The 24,475-nt window shown below is 35.8% G+C and overlaps 1 protein-coding gene across 25 annotated transcripts in view; it reads right to left on the bottom strand.

Moving 5' to 3' along the window:
* TRMT11 (tRNA methyltransferase 11) overlaps window positions 1–24,475 on the bottom strand; it is a 285,804-nt gene that overhangs the window by 131,443 nt on the left and 129,886 nt on the right. For 7 of the 25 annotated variants that reach the window (XR_007059310.1, XR_007059293.1, XR_007059299.1 and 4 more), the window contains one exon: window positions 10,043–10,244. The exons of 15 other annotated variants lie outside the window; for them this stretch is intronic. The gene's annotated coding sequence lies outside the window, so the exon portion shown is untranslated. Of the gene's footprint in view, window positions 1–569 lie in introns of those variants that run through there. 3 more of the 25 variants (XR_007059297.1, XR_007059314.1, XR_007059313.1) reach the window with 2 other exon arrangements.

The raw sequence follows: 24,475 nt of genomic DNA, 5'->3' as shown, positions 1-24,475 counted from the left end.
AATTCTGGAATCGAAGGTGTCATTATGAAAATACATTGTCACTTGATTTTTTTAAAAGCAAAATTTCCCATAATTATTTGATTGCAAAATAACTAACTTCACTGAGAGACCACAAAAACTAAAGCAGCATATAGTACAAATACTCTGTAGGTTGTTTTGTTGGTGGAAAGCTAAAATTAACTTGTCAAGTAGAACAATTTCTCTGCCCCTGGCAAGTGAGAAAGCAATAATGAATCTTCCATTTTAAGGTGGAAATTTTAGCATACCTATATGAACACTTAGCTAAAATGGTCAAATTTCTAGAAAAATCATCAAAATCAGCTCAAAGAATTTTTAAAACACGCACATCAGTAACCACTGAATACATTAAGCTAACAGAAAAGACTATACTTGAAATGGCACCCAACTCAAGATTTTGCTTGTGAATTTTATCACATCCTTAAAAAACACATAATTCTTGTGTTATATAAACTTTTCAAAGTAAAGACAAAGATAAGAAATTATCTGATCCATTTTACCAAGCAAATATAGCACTAATACCAAAACAAGAGAAAGCACAAGAAAGGAAATCATGGACAAATAACTTTTATAAATGAAGATATATACACCTTGAATTACATATTAGCAAATCAGATACAGGGATTTTTTTTTAATTACACATCAGGACCAAATAGGGCTTATCCCAGGAATACAAGGATGGTTCAATACTAGAGAACCTACCAATTCTCCATATTAAAAGACAAAAGACAAAAAATAAGTAATGTAAAGGTATTGACTAAAATTTAATACCTCATTTTTAATCTTCTGAAATTAGAAATAGAAGAAAACCCTTTTAATAAATGTCACTAGTGGAAATATGTAATAAGTACCATACTTAATGGATAAAATATTAGAAGTAATTTCTTAAAGTAAGGAATAATGCAAAATACTATCATTATCTATCCAGCACTTCTGCACCATCCTTGTCTATCCAAGACAATAACAAATCAGATATAAGAATCAGAATAAAAACAGACAAAATTATCATTATTTGCAAATGATATAATAATTACCAAAAAAACCTCTAAGAAATTAACTTGTGAATTGTTAGAGTTCACATTAGAAAGTTTAGCAAGGTAGCCAAATAGAAGTTACAAAATAACCACATACATTAAAATACTATTTACATTTTAAAACACACACATCAAAAAAAACTATATAGATAGTATGTGGCCATAAATATTTGTTACATAGGCTGGGCATGATGGCTCACACCTGTAATCCCAGCACTTTGGGAGAGTGAGGTGGGTGGATCATTTGAGGTCAAGAGTTCAAGACCAGATTGGCCAACATGGTGAAACCCCATCTCTACTAAAAATACAAAAATTAGCCAGGTGTGGTAGCAGGCGCCTGTAATCCCAGCTACTTGGGAGGCTGAGGCAGGAGAATTGCTTGAACCCAGGAGGCAGAGATTGCAGTGAGCCAAGATCACACCACTGCACTCCCACCTGGGCAATAGAGCAAGACTCAGTCTTGAAAAAATATTTATATATATTTGTTACATAAATAAAAATAAAATCTTCTGAAAAGATATACATCAAATTAAATGCTGTTGCTACTTCTCAAAAAAGGATCAAGATTCATGGTAATGATCAAAGGAGATTGTAGCCATACCTATAATATTTTTATTTTATAGTCTGGATATATGTATTAGTTTTACTATTTAAATTTAATAAAATTTAAAATATGCAAAAAATAGTTTCAGCTACTTCTATATTTATTTGGATAACTTCATATTATTTCTTAAAATTAGAATTATTACTTAATCCAGGAATTGAACCAGGAAAATAAAAGGGCACATCAAATGCAGGTCCATAAATTAACCTTGCTGCTAAGTATGCATTATTGTTTTCCTAGGTTAATATTTATGAGAACTGACTTACTAAAGTTTTTAAATTTCAATAAATAAAATGTAAGACTACTGAAGCCAGATATTGAGAAGGTTTATATATTTATACAAATACATATCTAGGTATATAATTTTCCCTACAACTTCACTAGCATTACAGTATAAAAAAATAAACAGTCCATTAATTTGGGTCAATGAAATACTTTCATTGTGATAAAACACTGAAAGTTATCATTCAAGATTATAACTAAATTTTTTAATGCTTTCAGAAAAGACCCTTATATCATTGGATTCCTCTATTTCTCAGAAATGTCAAACAGATTCCTTTTTGTACATTTTAGAAGCCTCAAATATTCAGAAAGATGGACCTCTGTTCCCAAATTAAATATTTGCCTTAAAAATAATAGCAAACTTTTCAAGAATTTCATCTAAATCTCTGAGGATGATTCATTCATTTATCAACACCAGAACACCTTACCTCAGGTATAGCCACAGTGTGTGCTTCAAATGATTAATATTATCTATATGCAATGTTGACAGAAAAGAATTCATATTCATTCTCAAAGGGAAGACAGCACATACATAGAACTGCCCTATCAAACTCATTACACTCCATTAATATTGCATGACAAAATTGACTGTAGTAAAAGTCTTTTAAGAAATAAAATTTACTCTCTAGTATTCAGACTGTTAAGATTTTAAAGATTTTTATTTATATTACCAGATATTCAGCTATTCATAACACACTTTTATTGTATTTTTATTGCTATATCACAGTTGTACACATTTTTGTGAACATGGTATTTTAATATACATATACAACATATAGTGATCAAGTCAGAGTAATTGAACTATTCATCAACTCAAATATTTATCTTTTCTTTGTGATGGGAACATTATAATTCTTCTTTTCTAGCTATTTTGAAATATACAATAAATTATTGTTAACTATAATTTTCCTACTGTACTTTCAAATAATAGAACACATTCCTTCTATTAACTATATTTTTGTACTCATTAACCAACTTTATCCTCTTCCACCTTCTCTTGACAGCCTCTGGTAACTACTATTCTATTCTATATCCATGAGATCTACTTTTATTTGCCCCTACCTATGATTCAAAACATCCATTATTTGTCCTTCTGTGACTGGCTTATTTCACTTATAATGACCTCCAGTCCTATCCATGTTGCTGCAAATGACAGGATTTCATTAACTTTTTTATGGCTGAATGATATTCCGTTGTGTATATACACTATATTTGCTTTATCTATTCATCTGTAGATGGACACTTAGGTTGATTCCATATCTTGGCTATTGCAAATACTACTGCAATAAACGTGAAACTGCAGATATCCCTTTGACATACTTATTTCCTCTCTTTTGGACATATACCCAGCAATGGAATGATTAATCATATAGTAGTACTATCTTTGTTTTTCTGAGGAACCTCCTACTGTTTTCCATAATGATTTGACATTCTCACCAACAGTTTACCAGTGTTCTCCTTTCTCTGCGTCCTTGCCAGCATTCGTTATTTTTTCTTTTTTGATAAAGCCAATCAGATAATATCTGATTGTGGTTTTGATTTGCATTTCCCTGATGATTAGTGATATTGAGCATTTGTGGCCATTTGTATGTCTACTTTTGAGAAATGTCTATTAAGCTCTTTTGCTCATTTTTAAATCAGATTTTTTTTCTTGCTTGCTAGCTTGCTTTTTTGTTAATAAGTTGTTTGAGTTCTTTACATACTCTGGTTATTAATTCCTTTTCAGATGGATAGTTTGAAAATATTTTCTCCTGTTCTGTAGGTTGTCTCTTCACTTTGTTAATTATTTCCTTTGCTGTTCAGAAGCTTTTTAGCTTTATGTAATACCATGTGTCTGTTTTTATTTTTGTTGCCTGTGCTTTTGAAGTCTTATCCAAAAAAATCTTTGCTAAGTCCAATGTCCTGTATGTCCCCAATGTTTTCTACTAGTTTTATAGTTTCAGATTTTACATTTAAGTCTTTAATCCAATTTGAGTTAATTTTTGTACATGGTGAAAGGTAGGGGTCTTTTTTTTTTCATTTTTCTACATATGGATATCCTGTTTTCCCAGCATCATTTATTAAAGAGACTGTCCTTTTCCCCCAGCGTATATTCTTGGTGCCTTTGTCAAATATGAGTTGACTGTAAATACATGCACTTACTTCTGGGGTCTCTATCCTCTTCCATTGGTCTATGTCTCTGTTTTTATGCCAGTACTATGCTGTTATGTTTATTATAGTTTTGTCATGTAATTTGAAATCAGGTGGTATGATGTTTCCAGCTTTGTTCTTTTTGCTCAGGATTGCCTTAGCTGTGCCAGATCTTTTGTAATTCCATGTGAATTCTAGGATTGTTTTTCTATTTCTGTGAAGAATGTCACTGGTGTTTTGATTGTAGTTCACTTAGGGTAGTATAGACATTTTAACAATATTAATTTTTATCATCCATGGCATGGGATATTTTCCATTTTTCATATCCTCTTCAACTTCTTTCATCAGTGTTTTAGTTGCCTCACAGAGATTTTTCACATCTTTGGTTAAATTTGTATTTTGATATTTTTGTAGCTATTGTAAATGAAATTGTTTTCTTGATTACTTTTTCAGATAGATCTCTGTTGGCATATAGAAACACTAGTGATGTTTATATGTTATTTGTATCTTGTAATTTTACTAAGATGTTATTTGTATCTTAAAATTTTACAAATTTTCAGTTCTAAAAGTTTTTTGGCAGAGTCTTCAGGTTTTTCTAAATATAAGATCAAGTCTTCTGCAAAAAAAAATAATAATAATTTGACTTCCTGCTTTCCAATTTGGATGTCCTTTATTTCTTTCTCTTGCCTAATTGCTTTGGCTAGGATTCCCAGTACTCTGTTGAATACATATGGTGAAAGTGGGCTTCCTTATCTTATTACAGATCTTTGTAGAAAGGCTTTCAATGTTTACTCTTTCTGTATGATTTTAACTGTGAGCTTGTAATATATGGCCTTGATTGTGTTGAGATATGTTCCTTCTATACCCAATTTGTTGAAGGTTTTTATCATAAAGGGATGTTGAATTTTATCAAGTGCTTTTTCAGCATTTATAAAAATTATCACATGGATTTTGTCCTTGATTCTGTTGACATAATGTATTGTGTTTATTGATTTGTGTATGTTGAACTGTCTTTGCATCTATGAGGTGAATCCCACTTGATCATTGAGAATGATTTTTTTAACGGGTTGTTGAATTCTGTTTGCTAGTATTTTTGGGGGCATTTTTGCTTCTGTGTTCATCAGGGATACTGGCTTGTAGTTTTACTTTGTGTGTGTGTCTTTGTCTGGTTTTGGTATTAGCTTAATGCTGGCTGTATACAATGAATTTGGAAGTATTCCTTCCTCTTTAATTTTTAAATGATTTTAGTATAATTGGTATTAGTACTTCTTCAAATGTTTTGGTAGAATTCAGCAGTGAATCCTTCAGGTCCTTGGTTTTTCTTTGATGACCAAATTTAGACTACTGCTTTAATCTCATTATTCATGATTGGTTTGTTTAGGTTTTCTATTTTTTCATGGTTCAATCTTGGTGAGTTGTATGTGTTCAGAATATATCCATTTCTTCTAAGTTTTCTAATTTTTTGGCATATAGTTGTTCATAATGGTCTCTAATGATCCTTTGTATTTCTGTGCTAACCATCATAATGTTCCTTTCTCATTTCTGATTTTATTTATTTGGGTCTTATCTCTTTTTTTCTTAGTTGATCTAGCTAAAGGTTTGTCCATTTGTTTATTTTTTCAAAACCAGTTTAATTTTGTTAATATTTTGTATTTTTCTTTTAGTCTCAATTTCATTTATTTCTGCCCAGATCTTTGTTATTTCTTTCCTTCTACTATTTTGGGGTTTGATTTGTTCTTGCTTTTCTAGTAACCTGGAAGTGAATTGTTAGGTTAATTATTTAAATTTTTTTTATTATTTGGATGTAGGCATTTACTGGTATAAAATTCCCTCAGTGCTGCTTTTTCTGTATCTCATAGGTTCAGGTGTGTTGTGTTCTGTCTTTATTTGATTCTCGAAATTTTTTATTGTCCTTCTTAATTTCTTCATTGATCCACTGGTTGTTCAAGAGCACGTTGCCTAATTTCCATGTATTTGTATGGTTTCTGAAGTTCCTCTAGCTATTGATTTCTTGTTTTATTTCATTGTGTTCAGAAAATATACTTGATATGATTTAGACCTTTTTATAATTTGTTGAGACTTGTTTTGTGGTCTAACATATGGTCTGTCCTGAAGAATGTTTCATGTGGTAATCAAAAAAATGTGTGTTCACATCCAACTGGATGAAATGTTCTCTAAAGGTATGTTAAGTCCATTTAATCTACAATACAGTCAAACAGCAATGTTTGTTTGTTGATTTTCTGGCTGATCTGTCCTTGCCAAAAGCGGGGTGTTGAAGTATCCTACTTCTATTGTATTGTAATCTGTCTTTCTCTTTAGATCTATTAATATTTTCTTATATATATGAGTGCTTCAGTGTTGGTTGCATATGTATTTACTATGGTATGTCCTCTTGCTAAATTGACGTTTTATCATTATAGAATCCTCTTCTTTGTCTCTCTTTTCAGTTTTTGACTTAAACTCTATTTTATCTGATTTAAGTATAGACACTCCTGTTCTTTTTGGTTTATATTTGCATGAAATATCTTTTCCCATCCCTTCACTTTCAGTCTATGTATGTCTTTTCAGGTGAAGTGACTTTCTTGTAGGCAACATATAATTGGGTCTTATTGTTTAATCCATTCAGCCATACTGTCTTTTAAGTGACTAATTTAGTTCATTTACATTTAATGTTATTATTTATACATTAGGCCTTACTACTGCCATTTTGTTACTTGTTTACTAATTGTTGTCTAATACACATTTTTATATTTTACTATGAAATATAAAAATCTTATTAATTTTTTGCTCTTACCTTCTCTAATTGAAATTGATTTTTACTCAGATATCTACCCAAATATGAGAAGAAAAGGGGAGTATCAACAACTCAACTCATTACAGAAGGTTTGCTCAAGGAATTCTGGGGCCTATGGAAAATGTTGTAGTAATTTTTTTTTTATTGAGAAAGGGTAGTTCTTTTCATTAGATATTGAGGTTCAATAGACAAAATTTATTTCAGAGGTGCTCAACTTCTCTCTAAAATGATGAGAATATAATTTCAGGTCAATGCTGATCTGAAGGGCTTTATCTCTCACCCAACTCTTCAGGGACATTGTCTGTATATACCCTATCTAAAGCATATGTTGATTTTCTTGAGTTCTCTCCAGGAATATCCTCAGATACCAATCTTCCTGAGAAATACAAGACAGAAGGGAAATCCCACTATATTGTCTAATAAATTCCCTAGATCCATCCTTCTACCCAGCAGGAAATATCTGAGGGCTCTGAAGGTGCTGAGGATGCAGACACAGTGAGATCCTGTGTAGCAGTAGCTACCTACATTCATGAAACACAGCAGAAGGAACTTTTATGGGCATAGCAGGCATAATTCCATGAAAAGACTGGCAAGGAGAGAAAAGGCACAATGAAGGTTCAAGATCATAGCTCTGCATCAACCTCAAAAGAAATTTAGAGCTCACTTTTTTGTATATGCTCCTTATTTTTTTAACCTTGCTTTTATCCATTACACTAAAGATGGTATTTTGGGAAATAAGCATTTAGACACTTAACTGCGAAATAAAGATTTAAAAGATGTTCTAATTTAGCACCTTGGCTAAAGCATATTGATATCTAGAAGTAACTAAAAAACTGCAAGAGAATAACATGTTTTTCTAAGTTAAGTTTAGTGGCTTTCGGAAACCTTGTACATTCTCAATTTTCATCCGAACTTAATTATTTTGTGGGTTCCATTTCTGTTTCCAGCAAAACACAACTTCCTTGTACTGCGGAAGAAAAGACTTATAAAATGGGTTTTGTGGAGCTCAAATAACTCTTAAAAACAATATCCTGATGAGTTAAGTGTAAATGAGCCAAAACATATGGATTAAATGTCCCTTTAAATACACATGCCTTTAAAAATTAAGGGAAAAAAAGTTTTGGCAAAATGTGTTTCAGATTTGGTTGAAAGAAAACATTTGAAAGAAATTGTTTGAGGGACTATACTAACCCAAAACATACCTGAGCTCTTCTACTACAGTACAACCAACTCTAAAACATATGGATTTTATACGATAATTCTTCTACCACACCCACCCTGAGTTCTGAGTTCTAAGTTTTTCTTCCTATGTTGGAAGTCATTAAAAACAGTCGTGGTGTCATTACTGTCTTGGAGAGAATATAATCTACTACTGCAATCAGTTTCAGTCAAATAGACGGAATGGCATATTGGTCATCACTCTTCAAAAATTAAAATAGATCTTATTTCAAACCTATGATACATAATTCTCACCAGCACTCATTAGACAGTATGACTGCAGGAAAATTATACATTGAGATAGATATAGGACTAGGCCAGAATATGAAATGATAGGATATCCATGTCATAGCTCTTTACTCAACCAAAGTCAAGTAACAGGCAAAGGTCAACAGGAGAAACACCAAAGCACAGCTTGAATAATGTTAGGTCATTTTCACTTTCTTGGGATATTCCAAAATGCATCTACTAGATGCAGGTGACTAAGAGCAAAAGCAACTGAACAATTCAGAAGTGAGTCCACAGAGTGACAGGTCCTTGAACCTGTGCCACCTATGCCTTATGTTTGTCTTCAAAGTTGTTGCCACCTCATACACATACAGATGATAATGCTGTCTTTTAAACTCTACAGGCAATGAGGTTTAATTCTAACATGTTTGGAGCTAAAACTGTTAAAAACTGTGGGTATCAAATAGAAAACTGCTAACTGCAAATCTGTGAAATTACCTGTGTTGTCCTATTTGTCCCCATAAACCTGTGGAATTCCACTCTCTCTATTGAAGGTAGAATGGGTATGCATTGGCACTCTCTCCCAAATTACATTTGAAGAACAACCAACCATGAATAAATGACCCTAGTCATTATGCCATTAAGTTGCCCTAATTAGTATGCATCCTCATCCAAGCAACCTAGTTACTATGCCAGCAAGGCATATTGTATTTATTCAAAGGCTGAGGTTTTATATCATACTCATCAGAGCAAATCTCCCCTTCAAAGACCATTTTTGAGGACTTTCTTAAAAAAAAAAGATAATCAATGTTTTAAAATTCATCACAAAAAGCATTGTGATCTGAATTAATTTGCTAGAAAAACAATGTCTAAAAAAATTATATAAATTGCTACATGCTTTTTGAGGCCTGGAAGAAAAAATCAAGAGCCTGAAACTGATGTGGTAGTGGGGTGGGTGGGACAGGAGGTAAACATACTTAAGGACTGACAGCAGTTGAAGAGATGAACAGGGGATTTGTCTCCAGGAGGGGCAGTCTGGCCTCGTTTCTGTGCTCTAATTTCCTTTTAAAGGCGTGGTGTAACTGCAGCTTTATGTGTTGAGTTGAGGATTTACTTGAAATATACTTAGACATACTGTTCTACACAGGGGAATTGATGCAAGTTCTTAAAATTCCTGCAGTTCTCTCTTTGGGGAGCAAACACTCTATAGCTAAATCCCATAATGCACCACCCTGCCAATACTGCTAAGCCCCAGATCAGTTATCTCCTCTGTGGACTGAGGTCTATGGGGGTGCAAGTTTTAAACCTAAGAGTTATCCAGACTGTGACATGGTCAAAATTTGCTCTAACACCAATTCTCTTGTCCAGGATAAAATAATTCTTATATTTCATGCCTGTCTGTTGTCTTCAGACATGAAAGCTATTATTATCCTTTCTGTGGTAGATTTTTTTAAAGTATATTCTGCTTCGTTTTTCCACAGACAAAGTAGTTTTCAGAAATGTGTTTGTCTATGTCTGCCAAAGAAAATAAATGTAAATATCTACAAATATCAACATAAATAGACTTGGCTCCAAGCAATAACACTTCCCACTGCGTGCTTCGTAATTATAGAAATTCTCCTGAAGGCTAATAGATAATAACCAAAATTGTTCAGATGTTGTCTTTCAAATGTATTCATAGAGAATACTCTGATGGCACCTTTCTTATGTGGAGGAGCAAAGGCTCATATTTACCTCGGATTCAAGCATTCATCCAGAGTCATTTGTCACTGCTAATGTTTTCCCATGGAGTTGGATGGCATGTGAAGAGAAAAATCCCTTTACCCTCCTGGAAGAAATCTTGAGAGTTGACTGCTGTGTGGTTTGCTGGGAGGTTGTGGTAAATGTTGAGAACCACCATCTCATAATCATATGCTTGAAGCTTTAAATCATGACTCTGTCAAAAATTCAAAGTTGGAAAATTGTGTACCACTTTGGAGAATCAGAAGTGTACTACAGACTAACAAAAAAAAACAGTAAAACATACAAGGAACCTCTGCGTTTTATCCATTATCACATTCTTCTTCTCCAGGCACATTGGAGCACACACCCTACAGGCAGAAGAACATTCTGACTTCCCGTTCTGGCTGGGCAGCCTGCTGGCACGTTATTTAACCTCTGCAAAACTTAGTTAAACTTTGGATTAAATCAAATAATAGTGATGAAGGATTAAACGATATTACATATATAAAAGGATTTTGTATCCATTGAATTTCTATGTAGGTGTCAATTATTATCTTCCAAGGCATACTTCTCCCTGATATCTAGAGCACCACATCGAGCAACAGTGCAGACTCCTTGAGAACAAAGACCCCGCTGTTGTTCTCTTCATATCTTTCTCTCTTCTACCTCCAGTTGGATATATTTTCTCATATATACAAAACTAGAACAGAGCTTATCACAGATGAAATGCTCAATATATTTAATTTTACTTATAATATACTGAACTGAACTGATGGACCTCTTAACTATGCCAGTGTAACATTCATCATGCTCCAAGCAAAAATGAGGGCTATGGAAAATGGGACATTCTCATGCTGAGTCCTCCATCTCTATGCACCAGGTGTCTCCATCTATTGTACTAATGAGTTCTATGAGCATGGAAATGGCAAACACCGAAGTCTCTACATGGTCCCTCAACACAGGACAGTGAGCCAGAAGCCAAAGATTAGTTGTGTAAAAACAAACACACTGAGCAACACAGGGTAGGGGATACAGATAGAAAATTATAGACTACAGTGTGTGAATGATCAGAGATATTCTGAGAACAGACGGAAATACAATTTTATATAATGCTACTTTAAAGAGGAATGTAGCCTGGGCAACATAGTAATACCTCGTTCTACATAAAAAAAATTTTTTTTAAATCCAGTCACGGTAGCACATGCCTGTCATCCCAGCTACTTAGGAGGCTGAAGCAGGAGGATCACCTGAGGCTGGGATATCAAGGCTGCAGTGAGCTATGATTGCATCACTGCACTCTAGCCTGGGCAAGAGTGGGAGACACTGCATCAAAAACTAAAAATTAAAAAATAAAGAGGAATGATATAAAATAGATTGAAAACCCATAGTCGGTAAAGTTCCTGAGTCAGGCACCATGTGAGGGGTTGGTTTGTAATTTTAACAACTGGAAATACACTAACATTTTCAGCAAAGTAGTAAAATAAAAAGTTAACATTAGTGAGTATTCCACATCAGACACTGTTCCAACACTTCACATGCATTAACTCATTTAATCCTAATCACAACACTAAAAAGTAGGTATCTCCCATTGTATACATGGGAAAGCTGAGCCACACAGAGGTGAAGTAACTTATCTCAAGTTGCGCACATTGTGAGAGGTGGAAAGAAAGGGGACAATGTCAGAGAGAGAAAAATCTCTCAACTTACTGTTAGAGATATGAGAGTTGGCAGGGGCTAGAAATCCAGTTAACTTTGGCTTCTTCATTTTATAAATGAGAAAGCTAAGACCAGAAAGGCTTGGTGCTTGGCCACATTGCTAGTTCGTGGTAGAGCTGAGACTAGACCCAGGTGTCCTGACCTCTTTTATAGCTCCTCATAAGCTCTGGAAGCAATGGCTCTAGACAACAAGAAAAAGTTGTCTGCACTTGAAAGCTGTGCAAAAAAAAAAAAAAAAATCAGAAAACAAAAATCCTTTTAGGTGCATTTTCTTTTCTGCTGTGCTCCTACGTGTTCAGAGTAATCAGGTTTTTCTTCTTCTCATATAATGGTCATGATCAATAACTTCCAAAGCAAGTTCATCACAATATCACATGGGATATTTAATGAGTACTGTCATATTAACTGCTGGACCAAATATGTAGTGCATAAGTGAAGGTGCTTATTTGTGATTTGAAATGATTTCAAACCACAAACGTCTATTGAGAATCACCCCACGCAGGAAAGGCAGTAGGTATTGTGGGGATTACAAAAATGTGCAAGGAAGATTCCTTTTTGCCATCCACTGGGGAAAACACACATATTTACATATAACCATGCTCTAGTTAAAACACAGTAAGTGGTCCAAGGACATGGGAGAAAATGGGAAGAACCCAAATTGAGAAGATTAGAGAAGACTCTGGGGAGAAATACTAATAAAAGTGAAGTTTATCTCATGTGAAAGAAATGAGGCAGAATTATTCCATTATAGGTCCTCCTAACAGAATTTTCCAGATTTAGCATATTCTTATCTCTAAGTGATGATATAAGAGGAATATTTATATCTTTTCTCTACCAATTTGGAAAGAGAGAAGGAAGAAAATGAATATATATTATTTTCATCTATAAATTGGGGTCTAGAATTAGATGACATTTGTTATGAGCTGACATTTGTTATGTTCTCATCTTAATTCACTCCAATGATTAATTTATGAAAAAAGCAGCCACATGTATTCCAACAATGTGTAGTGGCACTTGTTGACCAATAAATATGTCTAATTTGTCTATATGAGTAATCCATAAACAGATCATATCCACATATTAATATTGCATTATTATCACTACAATAGGCAGAATTAAATCCATTCCGCTAGGCTTTCTAAAGCACGTACAATATTGTGATTTTAATTTTTAAAATGTGCAGGAATCTCCTGTCATGACAATTTTTAAACACTGTAGAATCCCAGGATAGAGGGAAATCTTAAAGATCATCTGGTCCAATCACCCTGTCAATGAGTCAATCCCTTCTACAATATCCCCACCAAGTGGTCATCCACTTTATGCTTAGTTGCATAGAGGTCCAGACTATTCTCCCTCACAGAAAACTTAAGATTTGGACGAGATCGGGCGCGTTCAGCAAACACCACGTGTTCTCACTCATAGGTGGGAATTGAACAATGAGAACACATGGACACAGGAAGGGGAACATCACACACCGGGGCCTGTCGTGGGGTGGGGGGAGGGGGGAGGGATAGCATTAGGAGATATACCTAATGTTAAATGAAGAGTTAATGGGTGCAGCACACCAACATGGTACATGTGTACATATGTAACAAACCTGCACGTTGTGCACATGTACCCTAAAACTTAAAGTATAATAAAAAACTTAAAGTATAATTAAAAAAAAAAGATTTGGATGGCTCTTCTTTAAATAAAAAAGAGAAAGAAAAAGAAAACCAGAACCCAAATATATCTTTCTGAGGTTTCTACCCATTGAGTCAACTTCAATCCTTTGGAGTCATTTACCCTTTCTTCCATGTGACAATTTGATAGTTCTGATGACAGCTATGTTCCTGCCCTCTCTCAAACTACCACTCCCGACCCCAAAGTCTCCTCTTCTCCAAGCATACTCTTCCCTATCTTCTCAACTACTCCTCACATGGGTGCCCTTTGGGTTCCCACAATCCATCCTAAAGGCTCTCCTGAGGACAACCTCTAGTTTATCTGCATCTCCCTCCCTCCTTTGGTGGTATGCATGGCAAAGCACAATTCTCAGAAGTGCACTGAACACTGCAGAGAAGGAGACCGGTCATCAACCTCCTTCTTCTAATATTGTTCTCGACTACAACACCCTTGAATTATATTTGATTTTTTGTTGAGTGTATATCTCTTGAAGAAATTAGGCAAAATACAAGGGCAATAGGATTATCAGAGGAACAAAGATTTATTTTTTTCCTAAGGAAGAGAGGAAAATCCTTATTCATGTATTTTCATGGGTGGGAAGTTCACTTCAGTGTTCAAATCAATCTTAATATCTCAACAGTATTCTGCTCAACTTGGATAACCATCACAGGACCCTAGGGTTAACAAGATATTTGAACCCTCTTTTTTGATCTTAGGAGGGGTGGTTTAAGCAAGGCTGGACCAGGCAAGAGCCTGCAGAGATGCAGTTCTGTTGAACCACTAAAGTTAATCAGAGGCTTATGGGACTAGAAGAATGAACCAGGCTGGGATCTTTAAGGGATGCCCATAGCCCAAATGCCAGGGAGAGAAAACATGAAGACTGCTTCTGAAGGCACAGCGTGAGGTTTGATAAATGGAGCCATGGGTTCAGAACTGTGTGGAAACTGGATCAAAGTGAAAACAGGGCAGAAGCAATTCAGAGGAGGCTGTAGACCAAGAGAGCAAATGAGTCCAGTGAGTTAACACAAAGGGCCAGAAATCAAATAAATTATGGATTTCACAAAATGAAACATCTAAGAAGGTCAAAGCTAGTTGAGAATCTGCAACCCAGTCATTATCAAGTACTGTTGTTACTTCATTTAGTTTTCAACAACTAAACGTTGAAATATATTTAAAATCTATGACTAAATGTGTATATGAGTAAATACATTAATATTTAAGAACTTCTGATCTATAATATCTGGGAAAAATATAATGTCTCATGTCTTTGAAAGCTACAGGTTAACAGATTAGTATTCCTTTAGGAATTTTTTTAAATAGCACTGCCATTTCCTAATATCTAAAGCAGGTGGAAAACTTCAATGCCCATAAAGGCCAGACAAATAACACAAATGTATAAAACTTTCTTACTATAATGGGAAGTGGTGGTGTCCTAGGCAAATTACACAGACCATGCCCATCTAAGGAGGCCAGCCCATACTGAGTTCTGCTTAATATCATGTAGGAAAGTGGCCCAATATTGCAGTATCTTGATTTTTTGAAAGAAGCGAGAAATCAGAATGTGCATGCATGTGTGTTTCGGAGAAAGAAGAGAGAGCTCTTAATTTTTAAATGTTGACAATATAGTCTAATTTTTTTTAACATTTCATCCTACACTGAAGATCCCAAGGCTTAAAAAGGGGTAAGTTACTGCCCAATATTTAAATTGACAACTCTGTGATTCCACTCTTACGCTGGCTCACCACACTATAAACTCCAGTGAACAACGGAGGTAGGTGATGGGTGATCTTAGGATATTTACTAAGACAAGGCAGAAAGAAGTACTTCAAGAAGACTAGTGATAAACCACTATATCATAAGTTCCTTAAGGACAGGGACCATGTCTGTTGTGTTTCCCACTGTTTCACTAATGTTGGCACTATACGTGGCCCATAATAGAACCTTGATAAATATCCATGAAATAAATTTATATATGAGATTCAATGAAGAAGAGAAAAAGCATTGGATAGGAGCCAATTATTATTATATTAAATTATTCAGAGAGATGTTTATAATCATGCCATTTAACACCCTGAAGTAAATCACACCTACCAGATGAACATTTACAAGTGAAAAAAAAAGTTTTAAAGTCAAGGTGAAAAATTAAAACCTGGAGACATTTCTGGCTAAACATGGAATGTAAAAGCACATGTTTACCCCCACTTCCTCCTAAAATTTCTTCATATAAGAGGAAAAAAACTAAAGAGCCCAAACCCCACGGGCAAAGTGAACCAAGGAGGGTATCAACGCAAAGAAGAGTGAAAAATAAAACCTCTAAAAATGGAAAGTGTCTGAGCATAGACCAGGTCAAAACCTGGCGCCTGCAGAGAGAGATTCAAAAAGAAATGACCCCACTTGAGCCACAGGGCCCTGGAAAAGCTCAGGAATTGTCACATCAGAGATCGAGTATGGAGCCCAGATTAATTAAAGATTAATATAAGGTGCAGTTTGATGTCCTGATCCCTCCCTACCCCTATAGCTTGGTGACTTCTCCCCAGTCTGGGCAAAAGACAGGAGGTTAATTTCTAAAGAGATTTGCATCTGAGGATGGTGGTGAAACCCTGTAATTATCTGTTATGCCAATAATGCTTTATAGCAAACAATCACATAACTCCAGCGGTATACAACCATAAAACAGTATTGCTTAGGAATATGGTGTTAGCTGAAGATTGGCTAGGAGGTGGATCCTGTCTGCGCATGCTCACATGCTGGAACATTGGTTGGTTGATCTAGGCTGGCTTTGGCTAGGGTGACTATGTGGACTCCACTCTGATCTACAAGCCTCTCATCATCTGGCAGCCATGTTCAAAATGTTCTTATGCCAGTGACAGGCCTGAGAGAACAGACAAAAATGCACACTTTTTGAAGCCTAACCTTGGAAGTGATACAGTGTCAATCCTGTCATATTTTATTGCCCAAAGTAGAATAGACTCGGGACCCCATAAAAAGACCCCACCTATTCAGGGAGAGAAACAGCAGTCTCACAGCAAAGGATGTGAATACAAGGACGCATGCAGAATTGGTGCTGTTATTGCAATCTATGACACCTGCACTAAAAAAGAGGGCAATTAAGTGAAAGTCTGAATGCTGAAGAGTGAGACCACTCATTCCATGCCCACATTCAGCTCTGAGAATACTGCCATCCAACCTAAGACCAGCCAGATAGAATAAAATTCCTCTCCAGAGAAACTAACGGACCCAAGAGAAAAGAACTAAGACAGACATTTTGGGGATCTCCTCCCATAAGAAAGTTTGCATACTCTTTGTTAATATGCTATTAAGCCTATTACCAATACCTTTTTAGTACATCATTTATAATTATGAATGGACAGTCTAGGTTCTCCAGACATTTGAGGAAATCCCCTAACAAAAAATGCATGAGCCACAATCAAAAGACAAAACCAAAAAACCTAGAAAGAGACTCAGAGAAAACAGTGCAGGAAGCAGAAAAAAAATTTTTAAACTAAGTAAATCATCTCTTAAATTATAAATTAAAAATATTATTTTAAAAACCCAGATATTCAATCAAAAGCTTAAGTTTTTAAAAAAACTCAAAAAGTACAACAGACAATAAATGGAAATAAGTGAGACAGAACAACAACAACAAACCTAATCAATCAGTAGAGAAGTTTCAATATATGAAAGTAAAGGTCTAGGTATTATACAAGAAGAAAGTCCCTGAAATGTTAAAATGACTTAGCCATAAAATATAGACCAGATAACCAGAGCAAATTATATACTTCCTTTATTTTTTTAATATCAGAAAATCTGTTTACTTGATTATCCATTCAAGCATGCCTCTTTATTCCTCTTTTATTAAATACCCATGTTGCAAATAGAGGTAGGAATTACATCTGAAAACAGAGATAGTCCACTATCAGGAAGTTCTTATGTTTATTTACATGATTAGCAGTGTCTGAAAAAAAAATCCAGTGAAGTCAAGGTTGAAGGACAAGATTTCTTAGGCAGAGCCATCACTTCCTTTGTCTATGTGCTGGGAGTGTTCAAGTCTGTCCTTACTCACAGGACGCTCCTTATCTCATCTGGCGTCTGGCAACTTTTTCAGCGCACTGTGTTCCTTGACTAGTGCTGTTAACAAATCCAAACCACTATAAGGCACAAATCGCCATACACTCCCTTCCTGCCCCCAAAAGATGGCTCCAACTCTACTACAGGAGCTTCATTTAGTTATTGGAATACTTTGGCTCAACATAGTCCTTTAAGAGCTCCAGCTTTTAAATCAATTAATTGGGAATTGCTAGCTTTTGTTGAGGGCTTACTATATACTAGGCACTGTTTTAAGTGCTTGTTAGACATTAGCTCATTTTATCCTTAAAGCAAGGCTACAAGGCAGATATTATCATCGCACATTACAGATAAGAAAACTCAGAAACAGAGAGGTTAAGTATAGCAGCAGGATTTTAAATCCAACTGGTTTCGGTTCTGGAGCCCACTAAACTTTCCTGCTTTATTAGTAAGTTATGCTTTAATTATTTAAGAGGTTCACAGATTATATATGTACAGCCAAATACGATTTCACTGCAGAAATTCCTTCAATATTCCAGCTCAATGTGAGAACCAGGGCTCTGGCCCCTAGAGGTTTGCTGAAAATCACTGATATGAAGCAGACTGATTAACAAAAGAAATGGCATATAAATTTATCTAATGTGTATACATGAGAGCCTTCATAATTAAAACCCAAAGATATAGGGGAAATTGTCCATTTTTATGCTTAGATTCAACAAAGTATGAGCAGTCATGTAGAAATATGCCTGGACAAAAAGGGTAAGATCTAAAGCTAAGAGAATGAGTGGGGAAGCCCAGCAGGGCCAGCCAGTCTAGATTCTTCTTGGCTTCTCTGAACATGCATTCCTTCCTTCTGGTGTGGGGCACAGCCCTCTCTGAAATGGCAGTCTTATGTCCTAGAATCAAACAATGTGGGTCAGATAATTTCTTTATGGTCAGTTCTTACATATAATATTTTCAGGATTTATGGCTGGCTTTTGGGAAAAGAGGTTCTGCTTTCTATGACCTTCCTTGGGGAAGGATTCTGGTTTCTATGCCTAGCCTTGAGGAAAAATGGGACTGAGAGATAGGAGGGCAAGAGAAGGTCAGAGAAAAACTTTTTCTTCTAAGGCTGCTGTGGAGGCTCTCATTTGGAGGTATTATTTTCTGAGCCTGTATTAGTCTGTTCTCATGCTGCTAATAAAGACATACCCGAGACTGGGTAATTTATAAAGGAAAGAGGTTTAATGGGCTCCCAGTTCCACATGGCTAGGGAGGCCTCACAATCATGGCAGAAGATGAATGGGGAGCAAAGTCTTACATGGCAGGCAAGACAGCATGTGCAGGGGAACGCCCCTTTATAAAACGATCAGATCTCATGAGACTTATTCACTATCACAAGAACAGCATGGGAAAACCTCCCTCCATGATTCAATTATCTCCCATCAGGTCCCTCCTATGACACATGGGAATTATGGGAGCTACAATTCAAAATGAGATTTGGGTGGGGACACTGCCAAACCATATCAGAGCCCAACATCAGTATTCCTACAAAATTTTCAGATGAGCTGTTTGTGTGTCTGTGTGGCGGAGTGGGGGGTGGTTATGAGAGTAGATTGGTGATTTCAGAATAATAGACCCAGAAATTAACTACCCTGCAAAGTCTAGGGGATATAACCCTGACTTTCCAAGAGAACATAAATTGTCCTGGACATGATGGATTCTCTGTCCTCATGAGCATAGAGACTTAAATCTGTGTGCCAGATACTTTGCTAAGTGCTTTCATACATCATTTTATATAACCCTCACAACAGCACTAGGAGACAGCCATTAATTAACTAATTCCACATTTTGAAAGTAAGGAAACTAAACTTGAAGAAGATAGAACATTAACCCAAAATTTCACTGCCAATAATTGTCAAGATTAGCTTCAAACCCAGTTCTTTCTAACACGAAAGCACAGGTTGTTCTTCCACACTACTAAAGATCAATAAACCATGGTAGAGCACCCTGGTAACTTAAGTTTGTAGCTCTGTGCTCTATGTTTTTGTTTTCTTAATAGTTTATTCTAGAAAGATATTTCATCAAGAAGTTTTGAAAAATTCATTGTTATTCTTACTTGTGATTTTTTAGAGCTAATAAATGGGCATCATATCTAAATGGCATGAAGTGAGACAGTCAGACTTTGGGCCAGCCAAACTAGTACCTGATTCATTAAATAAACAAATTCAGTTCTGCTAAGATGGGCAAGACATGGGGAATACAAAGTTGAGTAAGGCACAGCAGACCTTGTGCTTAAGAAATTGATAATCTAATAGAGTTAATATGAAAACACCATATAAGTGTGCCATGGAAGTTCAAAGGATGGGGAGATCACACCAATTGGGGGCAATAGTAGAAGTTTCAAAGAGCTATTACCTAACGTGGGCCTAAGAAACCTGAGATAGGAGAGGTTTAAGATGCATTCCAGGTGAAGGGAAGATCACCAAAATGGTACCAAGGCAGTGAGGCCAGACCTGCTCTTCAGATATATCTGAAACATGGGAAGCAAACCAAACTTAGGGAAGAAGTTTGATGACTCAAATCTATGTCCAGTGAATAGATGAAACTATTTAATATAACTTTGGGCTGAAAGAGACTTATTCCACAGGCTTCCTTTGCTTCTGGCACATTTCTACCATTGTCCAGTTCCAGGGGAAAAGCTTAGAAAACATTTCTTGATGCTAACCTCCATCTAACTTTTTAGTCTCACATTTGGCAATAGAGAACTACAATACTATCCAGAATCAAACATCAGGTGCCAAATGTTATTCTATGCAGACATTTTATATAGAATTACAGCCCTTAAACATAAAGGACTCATATATGAGAGAAAGTCTGACAGGTCTTTAATTATCCACTGGGAAATAGCTATACAGCTGAAGTCAACCTCCTTAGAGGACATCCATATTTTAGGTTTGTAACGTTGACACAAACATTTGCTTTTGGATGAATTTTTAAATAACTTTTTTGTACCTAAAAGTAATAAATGACCATTCTGAAAAATTTAGAAGATATGAAAAGGAATAAATAAAAATAGCAATCATCCATGGACAACCACTATTAAAATTCCTTTCTTTTACCTATTTTATATGTTTGAGATCATATTATTAGCATATTTTATATACTATATTTTGAGATGGAATCTTGCTCTGTCACCCAGGGTGAGTGCAGTGGCGTGATCTCAGCTCACTACAACCTCCTCTTCCCAGGTTCACGTGATTCTCCTGCCTCACTCACCAGAGTAGCTGGGATTACAGGCATGCGCCACCACACCTGGCTAATTTTTTTTATTTTTAGTAGTGATGAAATTTCACCATGTTGGTCAGGCTGGTTTCGAACTCCTGACCTCAGATGATCGGCCCACCTCAGCCTCCCAAAGTGCTGGGATTACAGGCATGAGCCCCTGAGCCAAGCTTTATTTGGTCACTTTTACAGCATAAATTTATTTCCATAGTATTCATTTCTCTATTAATAAACATGTAACTTGTTCTAATATTTTTGCTATTTTAAATAATGTCCCAGTGAACATCTTTGGGTTGAAACGTGTTCATTGCTAATTGTTTTTCTTAGGATAGAGTCCTGCAATTGAAATTTTTGGTTCTAAATATATGTAAGTTCTTTATCCCTTTGATAAATATTTCCAATTTGTTTTTCCAGAAAGATACTCTCAACTTACACTCAATTTGCAGTCAGCTTTAGTGACTTCTATAATGTTCATAGGATATATGTTCCATAGGATCGTTCCAAAAGCTAACCCAGTAAACAGGCATATTTGAGTCCTCACTCCTAAATTCAGAACCTGACTCACACCGGTCCATTGGTACTTTACCATCTTTCCATGCATCGGTTTTCTTCTTTCATTCTTTCCACACCTTTCCCCAACAGCCACCAGTTTTCTTGTCTTAGTCTTTTTTTTTTTTTTTTTTATCAAAGAAGAAAGGATCTTATGGTGTCAAGCACACTGCACACTAAGGCATCAGGACCTTTCCCAGGACTATGGCCATTTATTAGAGAAACTGCCCTGGAGAGGCCAGGTTTCATCCACAGGAGTGATACACTATGAAATGTAGAGCTCAACAGGGAAAGTAATGGGAACAGAAGGTTCAGGATTTCTCAAATCACACCACATAGGCAACCATGAACTTTTAAGGAAAATTGGACCTGCTCTTTTTGTAAAGGACAAGCCTCTGTTTAGGGAGCTTTCACTTTGCAAATGGACCCATTCACATGTTTATCTAGTGATTAATCGCTGTGCTAAATGTCTCATCAGAAAGGCCTCTCTTGGGCCAGTCTTCAGAGAGATAACAGGACTAAATATGGGAAGTGAATGGCATATATTTGGACCCAGGGATTTGGATCCAGATCTCTATGGAAATAAAGTGAAAGCCCATGTCTGTCAACTTGGCCCTTTGGGAAAGTATATAAAAATCCTACCTAGCTAACGAAATGTTTATAAAAGAGATTTGGCAGCCTAAATAATTGTCATTCTGCTTATTAATAAATAGTGATATATGCAATTTAGCTTTACAAAGGGGGAAAAGAAATGTCTCCAAAGCAAATAGCTGTTGAAATATAATAAAGAGATCTCCCTCTGAACTTTAGTGATTTCTATAATTTTTCACTTGGTAAGTTCTTAATAGCTGAAATTTCTATTATGGATGGGATAAGGAAAGTTTATTTTTAAACTCTCCTTGATAAATCAGAAGAAAATAAGAAACAATGTCAGAAAAAAATCCATTCAAGCCGAATGTAATTGTTGAGTCATATATTTGAAAGCTAGCCATGTATTCAAGAAATAGGAAGAAAAAAAGTAAATTCTTCCATCTCCCTAGGAATCAATGCTCATTTTCCAGACAATATCACTTCATCAGACTTTTATCCCAAAACTGCCAGACAGAAACATTGGTAACCATAGCAATTCTCTTCCACTCAAATGATAGACTTCATTAGAATTGCGCATGCCTGCTTGTTTAGTATTGTTTTAGAGAATTTTGCTGTGGGAAGGGGGATTTTTTTAAATAAAGAATTTATGTGATTCTTCTCTTCCCAGGAACTTTTAGAACTTGTAGAAGATAAGGCAACATCCCCTGAATGACTAGAAATGACTAAGGACTGACAGCCACTTAGAGTGTTATCATTTTCCGAGAGGGCCTGCTGCTGGTTTTGTGGGCACTATCTCCACAGTAGCAGCCACTTAATCGTTCAATGTTATTTGAAGAGGTTTAAGAGGTGCTACAGCTGCTGCATCTCAGGGTTCTATTTTTAATTGGGATGAACTTAACTGGGGCCTGAATCTCTTCAAGAGAGAGACTCTCAGGAAACATTTATGGCAAATCTACTGACAGCAGCAGAATAGAAAGATAACTCAATAATCAAATCCTCTGAGAATAAAACACTTTTCCAGAAAGTCAACCTGAACAGACGAGTTGGAGGAATTTCCAGCCTCTGTAAAAGATCCTTGTCTGTAAGGTGGACAAAACGCATATTATAACTTACGTTTTGCATTATGGAATAGGAAACTAAGGTTCAGAGAGGTTAAGCGACATTCTATGGTCACGCAGTTAATAAGTGGTAGAGCTTTGACTAGAATCCACATCGCCTGACTCCATTTACAGTGATATTTCTACTATTCAGTGTTTTCTGGTTAAAAACATTTTTGAAGGGCTTTATTGCCTTTGTTTGTTTCCTTGTTTTCCTAATCAGATGGCGGGGTTACAGTTGGTCATTCATTCTCCTTTAAGTTAGTGGATGGATCTGTGGTCTTACTAAATAATCATGGTCAGAATGAAAGGTTCAACTGAAGCTCTAGATCACAAAAAATGCAAAAAAACTAATATAATCAACATTAGAGTAAACTAGGCAATATTACTAATACTGTTTGACCTACTCATTCAACGTGAGAGAAGGATGATTGCTCTGATTGCTCACATGCAACAGAAAGTGACTCTCCCTGTCAAGGACGGTAAAAGACATTCTTTCTGACACACAGAGAGAAAATGTTGATCCCACAGAGAAACAGATCCTACAAAGAAAAAGATTCATCAAAGAAAAGCAGATGAGACTATTTGAACTAAGAAAGAGAGCTGCAGTGTTGCTCAGTATCCAGATTCTAGAACTAAATTTTTTCTGGAGTTAATATAAGTATTCAAAACAAGAAATAAAGATCTCATTGGAGACCAGGAGGTGTAGAATACACAGTAGAGCCTCCAGGCAGTAGTGAATTTCCCCTCAACACACTGGCTACTAGTTACTTCACCTCTTTAGCGAGGATACAAAAAGCAAATGTACAAAAGTAACCCCCAAAAGTCCACCTTTGTTATTGTTTGGCCCACCAATTTGAATCGTGGACCATAGTCAAACTCCTAGGCTACCAGTTGATCCTGGGTACTTCATCTTAGCAAGGCCTAGTTTTTCTTTACATTGTTGTATACGCAAAAATTCTCAGATGGTGACTGAGAACTTTTTGGAATTTTAACACAAAATATCTCCAAAAAGAGAGCTAATAATAGGAAAGTGTCAAGACAGTGAAGGAGTCTAGGAAAATGGTGTGTGAATTTAAATCTCCCTCATGAACATCCAAATTCTACTCATTACAGCTCATTGGTTAATGTATTGCTTGTATAAAACTGTTTGTAAAGTTAAATGTATTAGGTACAGTAGGGACACTTGGACCAAGTGAAACCATCCTTATTTTACAGTTAAAATACTACTGACCAAAGTAGACAATTCTGAAAAAGCAAATCCTAAATGGCTGTCTTAATGAGATACATATCCACGTGGATTTATGACAGGTTACATAAGAACAGACAGGATGGTCTCCAACGTGCCACTCGTGGCACTAGGAGTAGTGAATTAACTATTTGCACTACCCTATTATTAAGGACAAAACCACATATGCTTATGTGTGGACAAACTGTGGGCTTATGGGAAGAAGAAGAGATGGAGGCCAGAAGATTTGTATTATTAATAAATGCCACTATG

Source organism: Homo sapiens, chromosome 6 (genome assembly GCF_000001405.40).
Source record: "Homo sapiens chromosome 6, GRCh38.p14 Primary Assembly".
NCBI classification, from domain to species: Eukaryota; Metazoa; Chordata; class Mammalia; order Primates; family Hominidae; genus Homo; species Homo sapiens.
This window is presented reverse-complemented; position numbering and strand designations above follow the sequence as displayed.